The sequence below is a fragment of the Homo sapiens genome, chromosome 8, assembly GCF_000001405.40.
Source record: "Homo sapiens chromosome 8, GRCh38.p14 Primary Assembly".
Classification (NCBI taxonomy): Eukaryota; Metazoa; Chordata; class Mammalia; order Primates; family Hominidae; genus Homo; species Homo sapiens.
Genome location: NC_000008.11, coordinates 18,897,841 through 18,917,016, shown reverse-complemented (window position 1 = coordinate 18,917,016; position 19,176 = coordinate 18,897,841). Strand labels below are relative to the sequence as shown.

Sequence of the window (19,176 nt, the reverse complement as noted above, 5' to 3'; positions counted from 1 at the left end):
ATGCCCATGGCACATTCAGATGCAGATATTCAGTGGGCTGGTGGGTATCAGGTCTGGGCTAGAGGGAAGAGATTTTATATTATTTAAAAAGAAATGTTAAAGACTTCTCTCCCTTATTTCCTTTTTTTTCATTTCCTTCAGCTTTATTAAGATATAATTGACAAAAATTATATAGATTTATGGCATACAGTATTATATCTTCATACATATATTCGTTGTGATATGATTAAATTAAATTAATTAACATATTCTTTACCTTACATACTTATTTTTTTGTGGTGGGAACATTTAAGATCTACTCCTTTAGCAATTTTCAAGTGTGTGATACATTATTGATTATAGGCACCATGCTGTCTGACAGATCTCTAGAATGTATTCATTCCATCTAACTGAAATTTTGTTCCATTTGACCAACACCTCCTCATCCTCCTCCCTGCTGTAGCCCCTGGTAACCACCATCGTACTCTTTGCTACTGTGTGCTCAACATTTTAAGATTGTGCACGTAAATAAGATCGTGCAGTATTTGTCATTCTGTGCCTGACTTATTTCACTTAGCATAATGTCCTCTAGGTTTATCCGTTTTGTCACAAATGATGGGATTTTCTTCTTTATTTTTAAGGCTGTATAGTATTCTGTTTGTGTGTGTGTGTGTGTGTGTGTGTGTGTATATATATATATATATATATATATATATATATATATATATATATATATATATCACTTTTTTTAAATCCATTCAGCAATCCATAGACACTGAGGTCAATTTCATATCTTGGCTCTTGTGAATAAAGCTGCAAAGAATATGGGAATGCAGATATCTCTTTGACATGCTAACTTCATTTCCTTTGGCTAAATACACAGAAATGGGATTGCTGGATCATATGGTAGTTCTATTTTTACTTTTATTTTTATTTTTTTTGAGTCGGAGTTTCGCTCTTTTTGCCCAGGCTGGAGTGCAATGGCACGATCTCCGCTCACTGCAACCTCCGCCTCCTGGGTTCAAGCGATTCTCCTGCCTTAGCCTCCCGAGTAGCTGGGATTACAGGCATGTGCCACCCATGCCTGGCTAATTTTGTACTTTTAGTAGAGACAGGGTTTCTCCATGTTGGTCAGGCTGGTCTCTAACTCCCAACCTCAGGTGATTCCTCCTGCCTTGGCCTCCCAAAGTGCTGGGATTAGAGGCGTGATCCACCATGCCTGCCCTATTTTTATTTTTTTAAAGGAACTTCCATACTTTTCCACCAACAGTGTACACAGTTCCCCTTCTTCCCACATGGCTCCAGCATCTGGTACTTTATCTTTTTGATATTAGCCATTCTAACAGATTCGAGGTGATACCTTATCGTGGTTTTCATTTGCTTTTTCTGGATGATGATTAGTGACATTCAGCATTTTAAAATATATCTGTTGGCCATTTGTATGTCTTCTTTTGAGACATGTCTGTTTCAGTCCTTTGCCCATAGGAGGTTTTTAAATTGGGTTATTTGTTTTCTTGCTATTGAGTTGTTTGACAAATAAAATGTATATATGTATTTATATCTTGGATATTTTGGATATTAACTGCTTATAAGATACATGATTTGCCACGTATTTACTCACTTCTGTTGGTGTCTTTTCACCCTGACAATTGTTTCCTTTGTTGTGTGTTAGCTTTTTAGTTTGATGCAATCCAATTTGTCTGTTTTGCCTTTCATTGCCTGTGTTTTTGGTGTTATATACCAAAAAATCATGGCCTAGACGAGTGTCAAGAAGCCTTTTTTCCTATGTTTTATTCTAGTAGTTTTGTAGTTTTGGGTCATACATTTAAGTCTTTAATCCATTTGAGGTGATTTTTGTATATGTTGTGAAATAAGGGTTTAATTTCATTCTTCTGCATGTGGATATTCCGTTTTCCCAGCACTGTTCATTGATGTTCTTTCCCCATTGTGTGTCCTTGATACCTTTGTCAAAGATCAATTGACTATAAAAGTAAGGCTTTATTTATGGGCTTCCTATTCTGTTCCATTGGTTTAGGTCTGTTTTTATGCTAGTACCATGCTGTTTTGGTTACCATAGTTTCGTAGTACATTTTGCAGTCAAGTAACGTGATGCCTCCAGCTTTGTTTTGCACCAGATTGGTTTGGTTATTTGGGGTCTGTTTTGGTTCTGTATGAATTTTAGAATTGTTCTTCCATCTCCCTGAAAAATGCCATTAGAATATTTATAAGTGTTACATTGGATCTGTAGATTGCTTTAGGTAATAGGGACATTTTAACAATTCTTTCAATCCTTGAACATGGGATATCTTTCCATTTATTTTTGTCACTTCAACTTTTTTCATTAGTGTTTTATAGTTTTCATTGTATAGGTCATTCACTCTCTTGGTCAGATTTATTCTGAAGTATTTTACTTTTTGTAGGTGTTACAAATGAGATTATTTTTTGATATCTTTTTTTGGATAGTTTGTTATTAGTGTATAGAATTGCTACTGGTTTTTGTATGCTGATTTTGTATCCTGCAACCTTACTGAATTTATTAGTTTTAACATTTTTTTTGGTGGACTCTTTAGGATTTCTGTATATAAAATCATGTCAGTTGCAAAAAGAGACCATTTTACTTATTCCTTTTCAATTTGGCTGCCTTTTATTTCTTTTTCTTGCTTAATTACTGTGGCTAGGAGTTCTAGTACTGTGCTGACAGAAGTGGTGAGAGTGGGCATCCTTGCCTTGTTTCTCAAGAGTGTGATGTTAGCTGTGGGCTTGTCACATAGGGTCTTTATTATGTTGAGGTACATTCCTTCTTTACCTGATTTGTTGAAAGGTGTTTTTTTTTTTTTTCTTTATCATGAAAGGGTGTTGAATTTTCTCAAATGCTGTTTATGAGTCTATGGAGATGATCTTATAATCCCCCATCTGGAAGGGAATGTGTGTAGGCTTGCTATTGGAGCCTTTGGGCAGGCTGGTTCCTGGCTCCCCTGGGGTTTGCTTAGAGCCTGGATTTTCAGGTTCAAGTCTGGAGCCTGGGTTTACTCTGATGGGCCCGGAGCTTGTGTCTGTTGAGTTGGGCCTAGAGCCTGAGTTTGTGAGGACAGGCCCAGAGCATGGATCTGCAGGGGCCAGCCTGGTGCTGAGATGGGCTTGGTACCTGGATCAATAGGGTTGGGGTAGGAGCCTGAGTTCGCAGTGGCTGGCCTGGCATTGGGGTGTGCTTAAAGCCTGAGTCTGTAGTGGTAGAGGTAGGATCTTTAGTTTGTGGGGACCATCCTGGTACCTGGGCCTGTACGGGCAGTCCTGGATCCTGAGTCCATGAAGGCCAGCCTGGTGCTTAGACCCTGGGTTCACTGGGGGCAGGCCTAGATCCTTAGTCCGCTGGCACTGGTCCTGCCTGGAGACTGGGTCCCTAGGGATGGGCCTGGGTCCTGGGTTCGTGGCAGCTTGTGTGGCCCCAGGGTCTGCTGAAGCAGGCCTGGATCCTTGGTTCTGTAGAGCATGAGGCCCCTGAGGCTGGCCTGGCTCCTGGGAGGCCTGGAGTCTCTATCTGCAAGGGCCAGACTGGTTTCTGGGTCTGTGGGTGCAGGTCTGAAGCCTTTGGCCATTGGGGCTTAGAAGACATTTTGGAAGTGGGTATGATTGCCCAGGAATCATGTGGAAAATGACAGGAAATCTGAAGTTTGCACTCTAAAGAAAAAAAAAATGAACAGGTTGACAAAGTAGTATTTAAAATAAATTTAGAAGAATCAACCCGAGATAGAGAAGGGAAACTTTAACAGAAAAATATTTGGAAAACGAGAGAGAGGATTTTCAAAAGGTGGCAGTAGTTGCAGAGACATGCCATGGATGAGTCCAGTCCAATAAAGACTGAAGCATCTAGCAATTAGGAGGTAATTGAATGCATTGAAATAGGAGAAGGAGAGTGTGTGTGTGTGTGTGTGTGTGTGTGTGTGTGTGTGTTTGTGTGTGTGTGTGTGTTTATAAAGTTGTTTAGATTAAACCAGATTTTTTTTTTAATGATCACACAATTATTGAAATTACTCAGGGTAGATGGTGGCCGTTTCTTAAGTAGCTCTAGGAGTGTACTCTACATCCCCTGGGTGCCTTGCCACTCAGCAGCCCACTTGGGGCTTTTGTCATTGTGACAGCATGGTAACTGTTTCTCTCAAGCTAAAATTTAGGGTGTATTTCCTGTTGCATGAAAATGTTTTTTGGGAATAGTGGGTAGATATTTAATACAGTGGCCATCATGAACTAGCTTGAAATTTGTGATGAAGCAATAGGGTCCCACCTGTCACTGTTCACTGCTTTCTCTGAACTTCAACATCAGGTTGCCAAAGAGGAGGAGGGTTCTGGTCGGGACTGAAGCAGCCCTGGTCAGGTTGTGGAACTAGGTGTGGTGAGTGAGTGTCTTCATTTCTTTTAGGAGAATCCTAGCCACAGAGATGATAAACATTAACAGGCACAAAATGATTTTGAGAAGTGGACCATCTTTTAGATTTTCACCTAATTAAAGATATCTAAATTAAAGATTTTTAGGTTTTCCTTCAAAGAATATATATATTTTTTTCCTTCTGAAAGCTTAGAAAGAAATTTAAGTACAAAAGTTTTATTCCTTTTAAGAACTCAGTTCTGTTAATAGTTAGACAACACTGCCCCCTGGTGGACTGAACCTGCAACACTTTTCAGTAGCGGTTAACATTGTGAAGCGCTGTTCCTGAAGGATATTCCTGCTAGCAGATTTCCTTCAGATTTGTTTCGGAGTTAATACTCTTTTGTTCTTTCTGCTTAATTTAATCTGGAGGTTTGTCAAAATCCCAGTGGTGTACAAATATTCCCTGTTATATCTTAATCTCATTATGACATTATGAAATAAGGATCTGGGATTTTCATGGCAAAAACTTCTCAGATGGACATTTTGGTAGGCCCCAGAAGACAAGATGTGTTAACAAGAATATATGAAACCTGGTCTAGTGGGTTGATTTTTTTCCTCATGTATAAATTTTTCAAAACCTTCTGAAGAAATCATTCTTGTTGGAGTCATAATAATTGAAAGACTAATGTGAAAGGTCCCACTTAACTTGGCTGTTTGTGGACGGATAGTTTTTGAGTTGTTGCATTTGTTTTGGTGTGTATTAAGTTACGGTGTAGGCTGACAAAATGTGTAAGATATTTTTCTTAATTTGGGGTGTTCAAACCTGAGTTCTCTGCTTCATTGTGTTCATGATGACTAGTGATGTGTGTGGTGGGGGGTAGAGTGTGTGTGTGTATCTGTAGGTGTATGTGTACATTTATATATCTATGTCTATATATATATCCCTGAGTTATGAATTATAAAAAATGAAAATGCTGTTTGGAAAGCAAACATAAAGATTTCATTTTCTGTTTTATCACACCAAATTGCAGAAGTGAACGCTCTTACATCATTATTATGCAACAGACACTCTGCTAGGAACTTTTTGTATTATTCTTGGAACCTCAGACAGATCTTCTGATACAGTTTCTCCCCTCACCCCCATTTTATAGATGAGGTTCCTGAGACTCACTGAGGCCCAGTAACTTAACTAAGCTCAGGTTACACAGCAAGGAAGTCACGGGTCTGCCATGCCCAGTCAAGCATGACATCAAGGCTGTCTCTCCACCATATCCTGCAGCCTTACAGGAAATTGGAGTGAAGTGCCACTGGCTCCCAAGTGACAGTGTGCTAACTTTCCTTGAAAGTAGGCTATACTTCTGGCTTTGTTCTTAATTGTTAGTATTGAATACATTATTTAACTTCTCTGGCTTTATTTTTGTTATTTCAGTCTTTAAACCAAAGTCTGTGTCTGTGTCTCCCTGTGGTTTGAGGAAAGAGGGGATAATGCTATGAAACTGTGCTCCCACCCCCACTCTACCGAAAACACTCCCTCTTTTATCTGTTTTATTGGTTGACTGATTGATTGACATGGCCTCATTCTATTGCCCAGGATGGAGTGCAGTGGCATGATCATAGTTTACTGCAGCCAGGAACTCCTGGGCTAATGCAGTCCTTCCACCCCAGCCTCCTGAGTAGCTGGGACTACAGGAGTACACCACCATGCCTGGCTAACTTATTTTTTTTTTTTTTATTTTTTTGAATTTTATGTAGAGACAGAGTCTTGCTATGTTACCCAGCCTGGCCTGGCCTTGAACTTCTGTTTGTTTTATTTTTTCGACTTCTGTGTCAGATACCATTTGAAGGCACAATTTCTTTGTTAAAATAAAACAAAACAAAACTTAAACCACTAAACTATATGATTTTTCCCATCTAGCTGACCATTTCTTTATGGATCTTGGCATACCACAACAGCTTTTTGTATTTTTCCTTTGGAAGAGAAAGAGGATATGGCCTGGGGCATCAGACTTTTCTTTTTTTTTTTTTTTTTTTTTTATTATACTCTAAGTTTTAGGGTACATGTGCACATTGTGCAGGTTAGTTACATATGTATACATGTGCCATGCTGGTGCGCTGCACCCACTAATGTGTCATCTAGCATTAGGTATATCTCCCAATGCTATCCCTCCCCCCTCCCCCGACCCCACCACAGTCCCCAGAGTGTGATATTCCCCTTCCTGTGTCCATGTGATCTCATTGTTCAATTCCCACCTATGAGTGAGAATATGCGGTGTTTGGTTTTTTGTTCTTGCGATAGTTTACTGAGAATGATGGTTTCCAATTTCATCCATGTCCCTACAAAGGATATGAACTCATCATTTTTTATGGCTGCATAGTATTCCATGGTGTATATGTGCCACATTTTCTTAATCCAGTCTATCATTGTTGGACATTTGAGTTGGTTCCAAGTCTTTGCTATTGTGAATAGTGCCGCAATAAACATACGTGTGCATGTGTCTTTATAGCAGCATGATTTATACTCATTTGGGTATATACCCAGTAATGGGATGGAGACTTTTCAATACAAGTTCCTTTCCATTGGGAGCATTTGGGTGCCAATGACAGGGCATTCAGGGAGGGGAGCGAACTCTTCGTGGGGCAGTCCTCTGTGTCTCAGGCTGCTGAAACATCTAAATTCCTTCTCTGTTATAATTGGGCACCAGCCTGCCACTTTTTCCTTTCGCTGTAACTTCCAGCAACCAAAGTTAAAGCCCCTGCCTCCCAGCGGAGGGAAATTACAATGTCAGGAATACGATAGAAGTAAAAACATATAAAAACAAAGAAACATAAATTACAATTTCTGTTTACTTAAAACATTGTAGAATTAAAGAAGTTTAAAAACAACTACAGGACTGGCATGGTGGCTCACACCTGTAATCCCAGCACTTTGGGAGGCCAAGGTGGGCAGATCACTTGAGGTCAGGAGTTTGAGACTAGGCTGGCCAACATGGTGAAACTCCATCTCTACTAAAAATACAAAAATTAGCCGGGCATGGTAACGTGAGCCTGTAGTCCGAGCTGCTCACTTGGGAAGCTGAGGCAGGAGAATTGCTTGAGCCCAGGAGGTGGAGGTTGCAGTGAGCCGAGATCATGCCACTGCACTCCAGCCTGGGTGACAGGGCAAGGCTTCCTCTTAAAAAATAAAATTAAAAATAATAATAATAAGAAGAAGAAAAATACAAAATAGCCGAGAAGCAAGACCAAATACCCTTTTATCCATAGCTAAGTTATCTGTGCCTTTATGCAACAATATTTTGTGTGTGAGTGCCTATACCGTTCATATATTGAAGCATCCAGTCACAGTTTGTTCATTTGGTAAGACAGTGGTGTTAATGGGGCCACGGTCAAACCTTAAGGGAGAGATAACGTTCATTTCTGTACATCAGGAGCTTTGCAAGCTATTTTACAGAAATATGTTTGTTGGTTTTAGGGAAACCCAAGCAAATTAATAGGGATGGCTCAATGCAATACCCAACTACACTAGGAAAAAGCAACTTAGAGTATTTGCCCTTTTGATGATGATTGCTAAATATCTGAAATGTAATTCCTTTAGTTACCCTTGGAACAATTGTCATAGTGAACTTTGTCATAGTAAACTTTGAGTTGGTTAAAATGAGTAGAATTAAAGTAGACTGAGACCCTGTTTTAGTTTTCTATTTAAAGTGAAAATGACTAGAGACTCTTGTTTTGTGTGTGGCTGCAGGTTTCCTAGAATTTGTCGGGAACTGAGATTTGTATAGTTTTGATTCTCATATTTAGATAGTTTTAAAAAGGGGAGGGCAGGAAATAATGACGTTTAACTAATTTCTGCACATAATTATGGAGTATTTGCTGTGTACCCAATATTGCTAGTCATTGCTTATAAGGAGATAATGAACTTACAAGCAAGACAACATTCATACGAGGAACCATTAAATAGAAGATGATACGTAATTAAGTGCCAAATGATTGGTACGAATCTCATGAACAGATGACTTGTTTCATGCTGAAGATCCTGCACAGAGACAGACGTGCTTTCATAAGGAGACAGACTGTTTGAGATGATCAGGATCAGAACGGGAAGTCAGGGATATGTGGTTATCATATGGACAGGAGGGGAGAAGCAGTGCAGGGTGAAAGGGGTAATCAGAGGCTTTTTCCAGGTATGCTCATTTGTTCTTTGCCTTGAAAGGTAAGTATTATTTGAATACATGGAAAGCATGGGGAGAATTTGGTTCTAAAAAGACCTGAGACTGAGTACAGGATGTTGTGGAGGATAGTAGATTATTGACTAAGATGGAGAAGTAAATTAAGATATGATCATGGAAGACCTTAAATATTAATCCAAAAAATGGTGATTTAAAGTGTATATTTCCAAAAGTCTTACTTAATTGCTTAATTTGGGTGACTGCCCTCTTTCTGGGGGGCCTCCACTCCACCTTAGAATTTGCCTCTATTGTTGAACCAATCATTCATTCTGAAAGGCACAAATTTATAGATATTTCTTTTGCCAACAGAGATGAAACTACATCTGGTTATCTTATTGGCATTTGGCTATTTTTGAAATTCTATATTAATTTACCTGTTATCAATTCTGCATTCATCAGTTTATCTACATCCATCAATATATGTATATTCTACAGATAGTTTGATTTTAACCATTTCACGTTGCATACTTAAAATTTAGAATTTTGTGATATATTGCTGTCATTCTTGTGTGCCGAGTGCAAAAGATTATAAAAATTAAATCCAGCTTAGCAATACATTTAATAAATTCAACTTATTGAAAAAAGTTTAAATGAAAGGAAATTGAAATGCGGCAACTATGTATCATTAATGTTACTGTTTGTTATTTGTCTGTTGTTGTATTCACGGGGTTGTTACTCTGTTGGTACAGTCATGTGCTGCTTAATGATGGGTATATGTTCTGAGAAATAGGTCATCAGGCGATTTCGCCCTTGTTTGAACACCAGAGTGTACTTGCAGAAACCTAGATTATATGGTATATGAGACACACCTAGGCTATATGGTATAGCTTATTGCTCCTAGGCTCTAATCCTGTGCAACATGTTGCTGCCTTAATGCAGTAGACAGTTGTAACACAATGGTAAGTATTTGTATGTCAAAACATATCTAAACATTTAAAAGGTACAATAAAAATGCAATAGAAAAGATAAAAGGCCAGGTGCAGTGGTTCATGCCTGTAATCTGAGAACTTTGGGAGGCTAAGGTGGGAGGATCACTGGAGGCCAGGATTTCAAAGACCAGCCTGGGCAACACAGCGAGACCCCCATCTCTACAAAATAAAATAAATAAAATGAAACAATGAAAAGACAAAAAATTGTACCATCATATAGGGCATTTACCATGCTTGGAGCTTACGGGACTGGAAGTTGCTCTGAGTGAATCGGTGAGTGAATATGAAGGCCTAGGACATCACTGTCCACTGTTGTAGACTTTATGAACAATCAACACTTAGGCTACGCTAAATTTATAAAAAATATTTATCTTTCAGTAACAACCTTAGATTACTGTAACTATTTTACTTTGTAAACTTTTAACTTTTTAAAACCTTTGGACTATTTTGTAATGATACTTAAAATACATATACATTGTACAACTATGCTAAAATATTTTCCTTATTTTCTTATTCTATAAGCTTTTAATAATGTTTTAGTTTTTATATTTTCTTTTTAAGCTTTCTGTTGAAAATGAAGACACAGAAACACACATTAGCCTGGACCTACCCAGGGTCAGGATTTTCACGATGTCACTAGGCAATGGGAGTGTTTTGCCTCCATTGTAATCTTACGTGTATGTATATAATTAGGTATATAATCTTTTGTATATGCAGTTAGTCATTGACTGAAATGTTCTTATATGGTGCATGACTGTATTTGTTTTTATTTGGAACTTACTTGTTTTTATTTCTAAATCTGAGTTTTAAATAGACACTACAATTACTTTCTTATGCTAATTTTTCTTAGTTCAATTTATTGTTTTAGGATATGATACTACCACTTCTGATTTGAAGGTATGAAGTTTAGCAATAAGATCATATATATTGTCCCTACAAAACCTGTGTTTGTGCCCCTCATATACATGGCAGGATCACCAGGCCATCAGAGCCTTCCTAGCAAGTAGTAACATGAAATTGAAATCTTTAAGTCTTTGGTAATATTCCTGCTCTCCCCTCACCCGTTTGCTCCTAACTATGAATTTCCCCATTTCCAATGTTTATGATCTTCGACACCTTCTAATTTGGGTATGAATTTTAAAAACACGGCCACATCTTATTAGTGCATTGAAATTTCTTTGAATGTCTTGTGTTAAAAGGAAAATTTATTAGGTGAGTTACAGCTGTGAGTAGCTAATATGAGACCCTTTCAGGCAGGGTTTCTTAACTTTAGGGGATCTGGAGCACCCAGATATTTGATGAAAAATTCGTATAAATGTTTATCTGATATTTTTTGTCAGGAGAGGGTCTGTAGCTTTCTCAAGGATGTCTTTCTCAAAGAAAACCACTTTTCTGAGACTTAAAGAACAGAAAAATCAGTGTATTATATTTTTGCCGGTCTTTCAGATACAACTGTTATCCTAGTTCAATCACACTAATATGATGTTTACTATAAAATAATCTCTTCTAAGTAGTTCAGTTACTGAATATATATTGTTATAATTGTTTTTGCAAAGCGTATCTCATTCTAGAAAGATCAAAGAACCAATTTATACTTTGTTTCTTTTTTCATCTTGAAAAATGATATATTTACTGTAAAGAGACCACTTGCTTTAATCTTAGTAAGTATAGGGAGTGGTAAAAATTATTTTAGGCCTATATTCGTGAATTATTTGTATGTTAATATCATCCAGTAAAAAATAATGAATACCTTTTGACTTCAGAATACTATGATAGGTATTTAGGATCTAGAAAATGTAAGATAAAAAGTAAGTAGGGAAGACAGTATGAAATTATGAAAATATAAGGACGCATAGAAAAGTATAGGCAATATATGTTTTCAGAATAAAAGAAGAGGCCGGGTGTGGTGGCTCACGCCTATAATCCCAGCACTTTGGGAGGCCGAGGTGGGTGGATCACCTGAGGTCAGGAGTTCGAGACCAGCCTGACCAATATGGTGAAACCCCGTCTATTAAAAATACAAAAATTATCCGGGAATGGTGGTGTGCACCTGTAGTCCCAGCTACTCAGGTGGCTGAGACAGGAGAATTGCTTGAACCTGGGAGGTGGAGGTTACAGTGAGCTGAGATCGCGCCACTGCACTCCAGCCTGGGCAACAGAGCAAGACTCCGTCTCAAACAAAAGAAGAAAAGGAGAGGAGAAGTCACTGAGAGTTGGTGAGGCATGGAGAGCTTCATTGAGAGCTCAGGTTATGAAAGATGAGTAGGACAAAATTAGAGAGGGGGAAATAATTTAATAAGCAAAAGTGCAGAGGTGATCATGTAACTTAGGGGGGATGCTGAGTTGACCAATGGAGAGGCAGCTTTTTGTAATGGTTAACAGCTTGGATTCTTCATCCAGCTTCTAGTCCTGGCTATAAGCTACTTAAAACACTCTCGCCTCAGTTTTTTAATTTGCAAAGCTAGTACCTTTCTTATAATTTAATATGGTATGTATTTGCTATATTTTAAAAGAAAAACCTAATACACAGTGCCAGCAAGATAGCAGTAGGGAAATAAGGTGGGGAGTTAGTAGCCAGATTGCAAAAGTTCTTGAATAACAAGTTAAAGGAAAGATTGGCAAACTATGGCCCTTGGGCTAAATCCTATTCCTCTCTTGTCTTTCTAGATCACATTTTATTGGAAAACAGTCTTATGTTAATTTACTATTGTCTGTGGTTGTTTTGGTTGCAATGGCAAAGTTGCGTGTTTATGTAGAGACCTTATGGCCCAGAAAGGTTAAGGTATTTACTGTCTGGTCCTTTACAGAAAAAAATTTGCTGACCTTGAGTAAACAATTACAGCTGTAACATAATTACAGAAGATGTACTTAAAATTTTTATTTTGTTTTGTTATTTACTTCCAAGATACAATGGTAGTACAGGTATTGGGTACACATTACCATTTCAAAAGGGAGAGATCAGCCAAAAGAAAGGGGTAGTAGGCCCCACACAAGTCTGAAACCCAGCAGGGAAGACATTAAACCTTGAAGTTCCAACATAGTCCTTGACGCCATGTCTTGTATCCTGGGTACACTGGTACAAAGGGTGATCCGCTGAAGCCTTGGGCAGCCCCATCTTCATGGCTTTCTTGGGCACAGCCTGGGTTGGAGTGCAATGCCTGCAGCTTTTCTGAAGTTCAGAGTGCACACTGGCAGTGGCTGTACAATCCTGGGGTCTATAAGGTTGATCCCTCATGAGTGGCTTGGTGCCTCCCTGAGGTAATGAGTAGTTCTCACTCTGTTAGTTTATATAAGACCTAGTTGTTTAAAAGAGCCTAGCACCTCCTTCTCTCTCTCTTGTTCCCTCTCTCACCTTGTGACATGCCTGCTATCCCTTTGCCATGTACCATGAGTAAAAGCTTCCTGAGGTCCTGACCAGAAGCAAATGCTGGCACTATGCTTCCTGTACAGCCTGCAGAACTGTGAGCCAACTAAACCTCTTTTCTTTATAAATTACTCAGTTTCGGGTGTTCCTTTATAGCACTGCAAAACAGAATCATACACTTCCCCAGGCAGAAGTAGAGCCACATCACCTACCCCTCTCCCCGCCTTCTTGGGCTGAGCTGAAGTGGTGCCCTTTCTCCTGGGGAAACAGTACTTTGGCTACTCGGAGAAGTCACACCTTCCCTCAGCCTAAGTTGGAGGGTGCCACATGTCCCCAAAACGGTGCCTTGGCCCCCCAGAAAGGTCCTATATCCTAGTACCTAAGCTGAAGCAGCAGCCTGCATCCTAGGGAAACTGTGCCTGGGCCATCCAGAACAGTCAAGGCCCCCAGGCCTGAGCTGAAGGAGCACATTGGTCCCTGGGGTATCAGTGCCCTGGCTGAGCTAAGTAGCTACACATCCCTGGGCTGAACTGACATAGCACCCCATATAACAGGGAAGTAGAACAGTGGCTTAGCTGAGACACACTGGCCTATAGACCAAACAGCTCTTGTATCCTGCTTCCGTGGAGCTGGTCTAGGCCCTAGAGTCTGAGCTGTTGGGACACATCTGTTCTTGAGGAATGGAATCATCAATGTGCTATTTCCTGACCCCACACTCTTCACCCCACCATGCTGCAAAAAACAGCTATTCTTTGCCATTCCCAGGTACTTGCTGCCACTGCACCTGGCCTCACAGAGGCTCAGATGCTGACGATCACTGCCAACCCAGGGTCTAGAGTCACTACCACAAGGTGACTCATTCCCTGGGACCCGAGTTGCCGTTCGGGTCAAGTTCCCAAATCGCAGTCATACCTTGCACCTTGAGCCTAAACCTTCAGAGTATCACTTTCCTGGAGTTGGGTGAGTGCTTCACTGTATACCCTAAAAGTAAAATCACAGCTACAACCTGGCCCCCTGAGCCTGAGCTGCTAGGGAGTAGCTCTGAGTCACAGATCCTGGTTCCGGGGGCAACTTACATCCAATCCTTTCACAGACAGCAAGTTCGCACTCCAAGATGCAGGTGCCACAGGAGGTTCACAAGATTCTGAGCCTAGGACCCTGGCCCCACAGCCACTCCAAGCAACTCAGTGCTGTTACAGCCACTTGTAGGCCATGTCAGACCTGACACCTAGAGAAATCCCCTCATCTAAGTCTCCCCATTGTGTGGAAAATGAGAATAGGAGGACTGAAGACATTAGCAGCCTATGCCACTGTCACCACTGCCACGAACATCTACAACATACGCCACTGAGGCACCCACAGTTATTGCTGACATTGAATGCAGATGAAGAGTCTGCACAGAGACTCTACTACTGCACCTGTCTGGAAACAGTTACCACATTCTTTCCAACCAGCACAGTAAAACCCTACTGAAGGTCAAAGTCTTTCTGTACAAAAGCCAGTCTAGTAAGTTTGGAAGAGGCTACCGTTCCACCAGACATCAACACACAGATATCTGCCACACAGACATCAACACAGGGAGACAAGACATGAAAAGGCAAGGAAATATGACACCACTAAAGAAACATAATAACTCTGTAATAACAGACCTCAGTGAAAAAGAATTCAATGACTTGGTGGAATATGAATTCAAAGTAATAATTTTATGGTAACTCAGTGAAAAACAGAAAAGAGAGACAATTTAATGAAGTCAGGAAAACAATTCACCATGTGAATGAGAAATTCAGCAAAGAGAGAGAAATTATAAAAAAGAATTAAATAAAAATCCTGTATTTGAAGAATTCAATCAGTGAAATAAAAAAATACAGCAGAGACCTTCAATAGAAGACTTGATCAAGCGTAAGAATCTCTGAAGTGAAGAAAGCCTATAAGACTTGTGGGACACCATTAAGTAAATAAATATTTGTGTTATGGGATTTGCAGAAGGAAAACAGAAAGAAAAAAGCATAGAAAGCATATTTAATGAAATAATAACTGAAAACTTCCCAAGTTTGGGGAGAGATATGGACATCTAGAGCCAGGAATCTCAAAAGTCTCCAAATAAATTCCACCCAAAAAGGTCTTTTTTTTTCTTTTTTCTTTTTTGCCTGAGGCACATTTATGTCAAATTGACACAAGTCAAGGACAAAGAGGAAATTCTAAAAACAGAAAAAGAGGAGAGTCAAATCACATCTAAGGGACTCTCCATTAGACTAATAGCACATTTCTCTGCAGAAACCTTACAGGCTAGGAGAGAATGGGCTGATACATAGTCAAAGAGCTGAAAGAGAAATACTGCCAGCCAGGAATACTATGCCCAGCAAAGCTATCCTTTAGAGATGAGGGAGAAATAAAGTATTTCCCAGACAAACAAAAACTGAGAGAATTCATTACCACTAGGCCAACCTTACAAAAAGTGCTCAAGGGAGTCCTGCATCTGGAAGTGAAAAGATGAAAATCACTATCATGAAAACAGGCAAAATTATAAAACTCACTGGTGGAGCAGATACACAAAGGAGAAAGAGGAAAGAATCAAGACTTAGGCTACAGAAAACCACCAAACTGCAATGATAGAAAAAGAGGAAGAAAGGAACGAAAGGAGGAAGAAAGGAACAAAGGATATACAAACAACTTCAAAAACAAATTAACAAAATAACAAGAGTGTGTTCTCGCCTATCAATAATACCCTTGAATGTCAATGGATTAAATTCTCCACTTAAAAGATATAGACTGGCTAAATGGATGAAAAAACATGACCCAGCTCTATGCTGCCTACAAGAAACTCACTTTACCTGTTGACTATTAACAACACAGGTTTTGACCTGCACAGGTCCACTTATATTCAAATATTTTAAACAATAAATATGTTGTTTAATTTTTTGGGAGATTTGCAACAATTTGAGAAAACTTGCAGACAAACCATGTAGACTAGAAATACTGGAAAAATGAACAAGAGTTGTGACATGAATTCATAAAATATATGTAGATACTAGTTTAATCATTTATTACCATGAAATAGAAACACATCTACTTTAAAAAGTTAAAGTTTATCAAAACTTATATACACCAGACTGTACATGGTGCCATTTGCAGTCCCGAGAAATGTAAAGAAACATAAAGATGCAGTATTAAATCATAACTGCATACAATTAACTGTAGTACATACTGTACTATATAATAATGTTGAAGCCACCTGTTGTTGCTATTGCAATGAGCTTGAGTGTTGTATCTGCTTAAAACACTGTGTGATGCTAACAGCTCCATGTGAACCATTCATCTGTCCAGTAAATTATGTGTTGTATTAAAAAGTGATCTCCATGTTGGTGCACACCTGTAGTCTCAGCTACTTGGGAGGCTGAGGTGTCAGGATGTCTTGAGCCCAGGAGTTTGAGCTATGATTGTGTCACTGCATTCCAGCTTGAGTGACAGAGCAAGACCCTGTCTCCCAAAAAAAAAAAAAAAAAAAAAAAGAGTTGTCTCTCATGGTTTTTGTGTATTTTTCATCATGTTTAGTTCACTACTATAAACCTTAATAACACCGTGGAACCCATACAAAGTACCACTAGTGATGCTGGAAGTGCTCCCAAGAAGCAGGGAAAATTCATGATGTTATAAGAAGGGTGAATTGCTTGATATGTACCAAATGGATTGAGGTCTGCAGCTGTGGTCACCTGCCATTTCAAGATAAAAGAATCCAGCAGTGTAAGTACCGTTGTAAGAAAAGAAAAGGAAATTTGTTGTCACTGCAGCTCCCTCAGTAGGCACAAAACCTTGAACTTTTTTATATTGAAAATGTAGCTGTTATGTGGATGCAGGATACCTATAAGAAAATCATGCCTATAGACTCTACAATGATTTAAGAAAAAATGAGGTTAGTGTATGACAACTTAAAGCAAAAGGAAGGTGTTAGATCTAAACTTGGAGAATGTAATGCCAGCAAAAGATGGTTCGATAATTTTAGAAAGAGATTTGCCTTAAAAAATGTCAAGATAACAGGAGAAGCAGCAGACAGCCAAGAAGCAGTAGACAAGTTCCCAGACACCATTAAGAAAATCATTGAGAAGAATGGATATCTGCCTGGCAGGTTTCTTTCTTTTTTTTCTTGTAGAAAAAAAGTGCCCCCTTTCTGGAAAACAGTTCCACAAAGGACATTTATTAGTAAGGAAGGGAAGTGAGTACGAGGATTTAAGGCAGGAAGGGATAGGCCAACTGTATTGTTTTATGCAAATACAGTTGGATTTATGATGAGGAATGCCCTTGTCTATAAATTTCTAACCCCTGAGCCTTGAATAGAAAAGATAAACACAGATACCAATCTTTGGGTTATATAACAAGAAGACCTGAACAACAAGAACTCTTCTGCTGGATTGGTTCCATCAGTGCTTTGTCCCTAAGTTCAGGAAGTACCTTGCCAGTAAGGGACTGCCTTTTAAAGTTCTTTTGATATAGGACAATACCCTTAGCCACCCAGAACTCTATGAGTTCAACAGTGAAGACATCGAAGTCATCTGCTTGCCCCCAAACACAGTATCTCTAATTCAGCTTCTACATCAGGGGGTCATAAGGACCATTAAGGCTCACTACACACAGTGTTTTATGGAAAGAATTGTTAGTGCTATGGAAGAGAACCCTGACAGAACATCATGAAAGTCTGGAAGATTGCATCGTTGAAGATTCCATTGTTAAAGGAAAAGCTGTGAAAGCCTTGAAATCTGAAACAATAAGTTCTTGCTGGAGAAAACTTTATCCAGATGTTGTGCAGGACTTCACAGGATTTACATTTGAGCCAATCAAGAAAATCATGACAAGATATTGTAGATATGGGAAAAAAGGTATGAGGGGTGGTGAGGAAGGATTTCAAGATGTAGATATCAGAGAAATTCAAGAGCAAATAGGTATCACACCAGAGAAGTTAACAGAAGATGAATTGCTGGAGATGAGTGCTTCAAAATTAGTGCCAGATGATGAGGAAAAAGACGTGGAAGAAGCAGTTCTAGAAAACAAATTGACATGAGATAATCTGGCAGAATGGTTCCCATGATTCCAGACTGTTTTTGACTTCTTTTATGATGTTGACCCTTCTATCATATGGGCACTGAAACTAAAGCAAACAGTGGAAGAAGGATTGGTACTGTATAGAAGAAACATTTTTGGAGAAATGAAAAAGTTAAAAAGACAGAAACTATGATTATGTCTGTACATTTACACTGAATGTGCCTGCCTCTCTTGCTTCCTGTTCTTCTTCCTCTACCTTTTCTGCCTCTCCCATCCTTGAGATGAGGACAACTCCTTTCTCCTCCTCTTCAGCTTATTCAATGAGAAATTGAGGATGAAGACCTTTATGATGATTCATTTCCACTTAATGAATAGTAAATATATTTTCTCTTCTTCATCATTTTCTTAGTAACATTTTCTTTTCTCTAGTTTATTATAAAAATAAAGTATATAATACATACAACATGCAAAATATGTGTCCATTCCCTATTTATATTATCAGTAAGACTTCTAGTCAATAGTAGGCTAATATGTTAGTAGCTAAGTTTTTGGAGAGTCAAAAGTTATGTGGATTTTCAACTGCATGGTGGTGGTGCTCAGTGCCCCTAAATCCCATCTTATTCAAAGGTCAACTGTAGACTGAATGTGAAAGTATGGAAAAAGACATTCCATGCAAACAGAACCCAAAAGCAAGCAAATGTAGTCATTCCTATATCAGATAAAACAGACTTTAAGTAAACTCATGTAAAAAGAGACAAAGAAGGTCATTATACAGTGATAACAGGATCAATTCAGCAAGCAGATATAACACTTATAAACGTATATGTACCTAATACTGGAGCACCCAGGTAATCAAAGCAAATATTATTAGATTTAAATTGCACTTAAACAGGACAGTAATAGTTGGGCACTTAAACACCCCTCTAAGCATCAGATAGATCATCTATACAGAAAACAAACAAAGCAACATTGGATTTAAACTGCACTTTAATCAAACTCTCAGCAAGTTAGGTAAGAAGGAACATACCTCGACACAGTCAAAGCCGTATATGAGAAAACCATAGCCAACATTATACTGAACTGGGGAAAGCTGCAAACTTTTCCTCTAGCTCTGGAACAAGACAAGAATGACCACTTTCTCCATTTTTTTTCAGGAGTACTAGAAGTTTTAGCCAGATAAATGATCTTATATAAATAAAACTATGAAAGCTTCAAAAAATAAAAACCTCTGAACTGACCGTCTAATTCAGTAAAGTTGCAGGATACAAAATCAACTTA

At 38.9% G+C, this 19,176-nt stretch overlaps 1 protein-coding gene across 18 annotated transcripts in view, besides 2 other annotated features; it reads left to right on the top strand.

Moving 5' to 3' along the window:
* The window catches only part of PSD3 (pleckstrin and Sec7 domain containing 3), a 557,503-nt gene that overhangs the window by 167,789 nt on the left and 370,538 nt on the right, over window positions 1-19,176 (top strand). The gene's annotated exons all lie outside the window — the stretch shown is intronic.
* Window positions 2,839-3,350: an enhancer, noted in NCBI's record as "H3K27ac-H3K4me1 hESC enhancer chr8:18771177-18771688 (GRCh37/hg19 assembly coordinates)". NCBI's record gives its function as "activates a minimal SCP1, AML or CMV promoter by ChIP-STARR-seq in naive H9 embryonic stem cells {active_cell/tissue: H9 hESC(naive)}" and the evidence as "EXISTENCE:reporter gene assay evidence [ECO:0000049][PMID:30033119]".
* Window positions 11,918-12,741: an enhancer, noted in NCBI's record as "OCT4-NANOG hESC enhancer chr8:18761786-18762609 (GRCh37/hg19 assembly coordinates)". NCBI's record gives its function as "activates a minimal SCP1, AML or CMV promoter by ChIP-STARR-seq in primed H9 embryonic stem cells {active_cell/tissue: H9 hESC(primed)}" and the evidence as "EXISTENCE:reporter gene assay evidence [ECO:0000049][PMID:30033119]".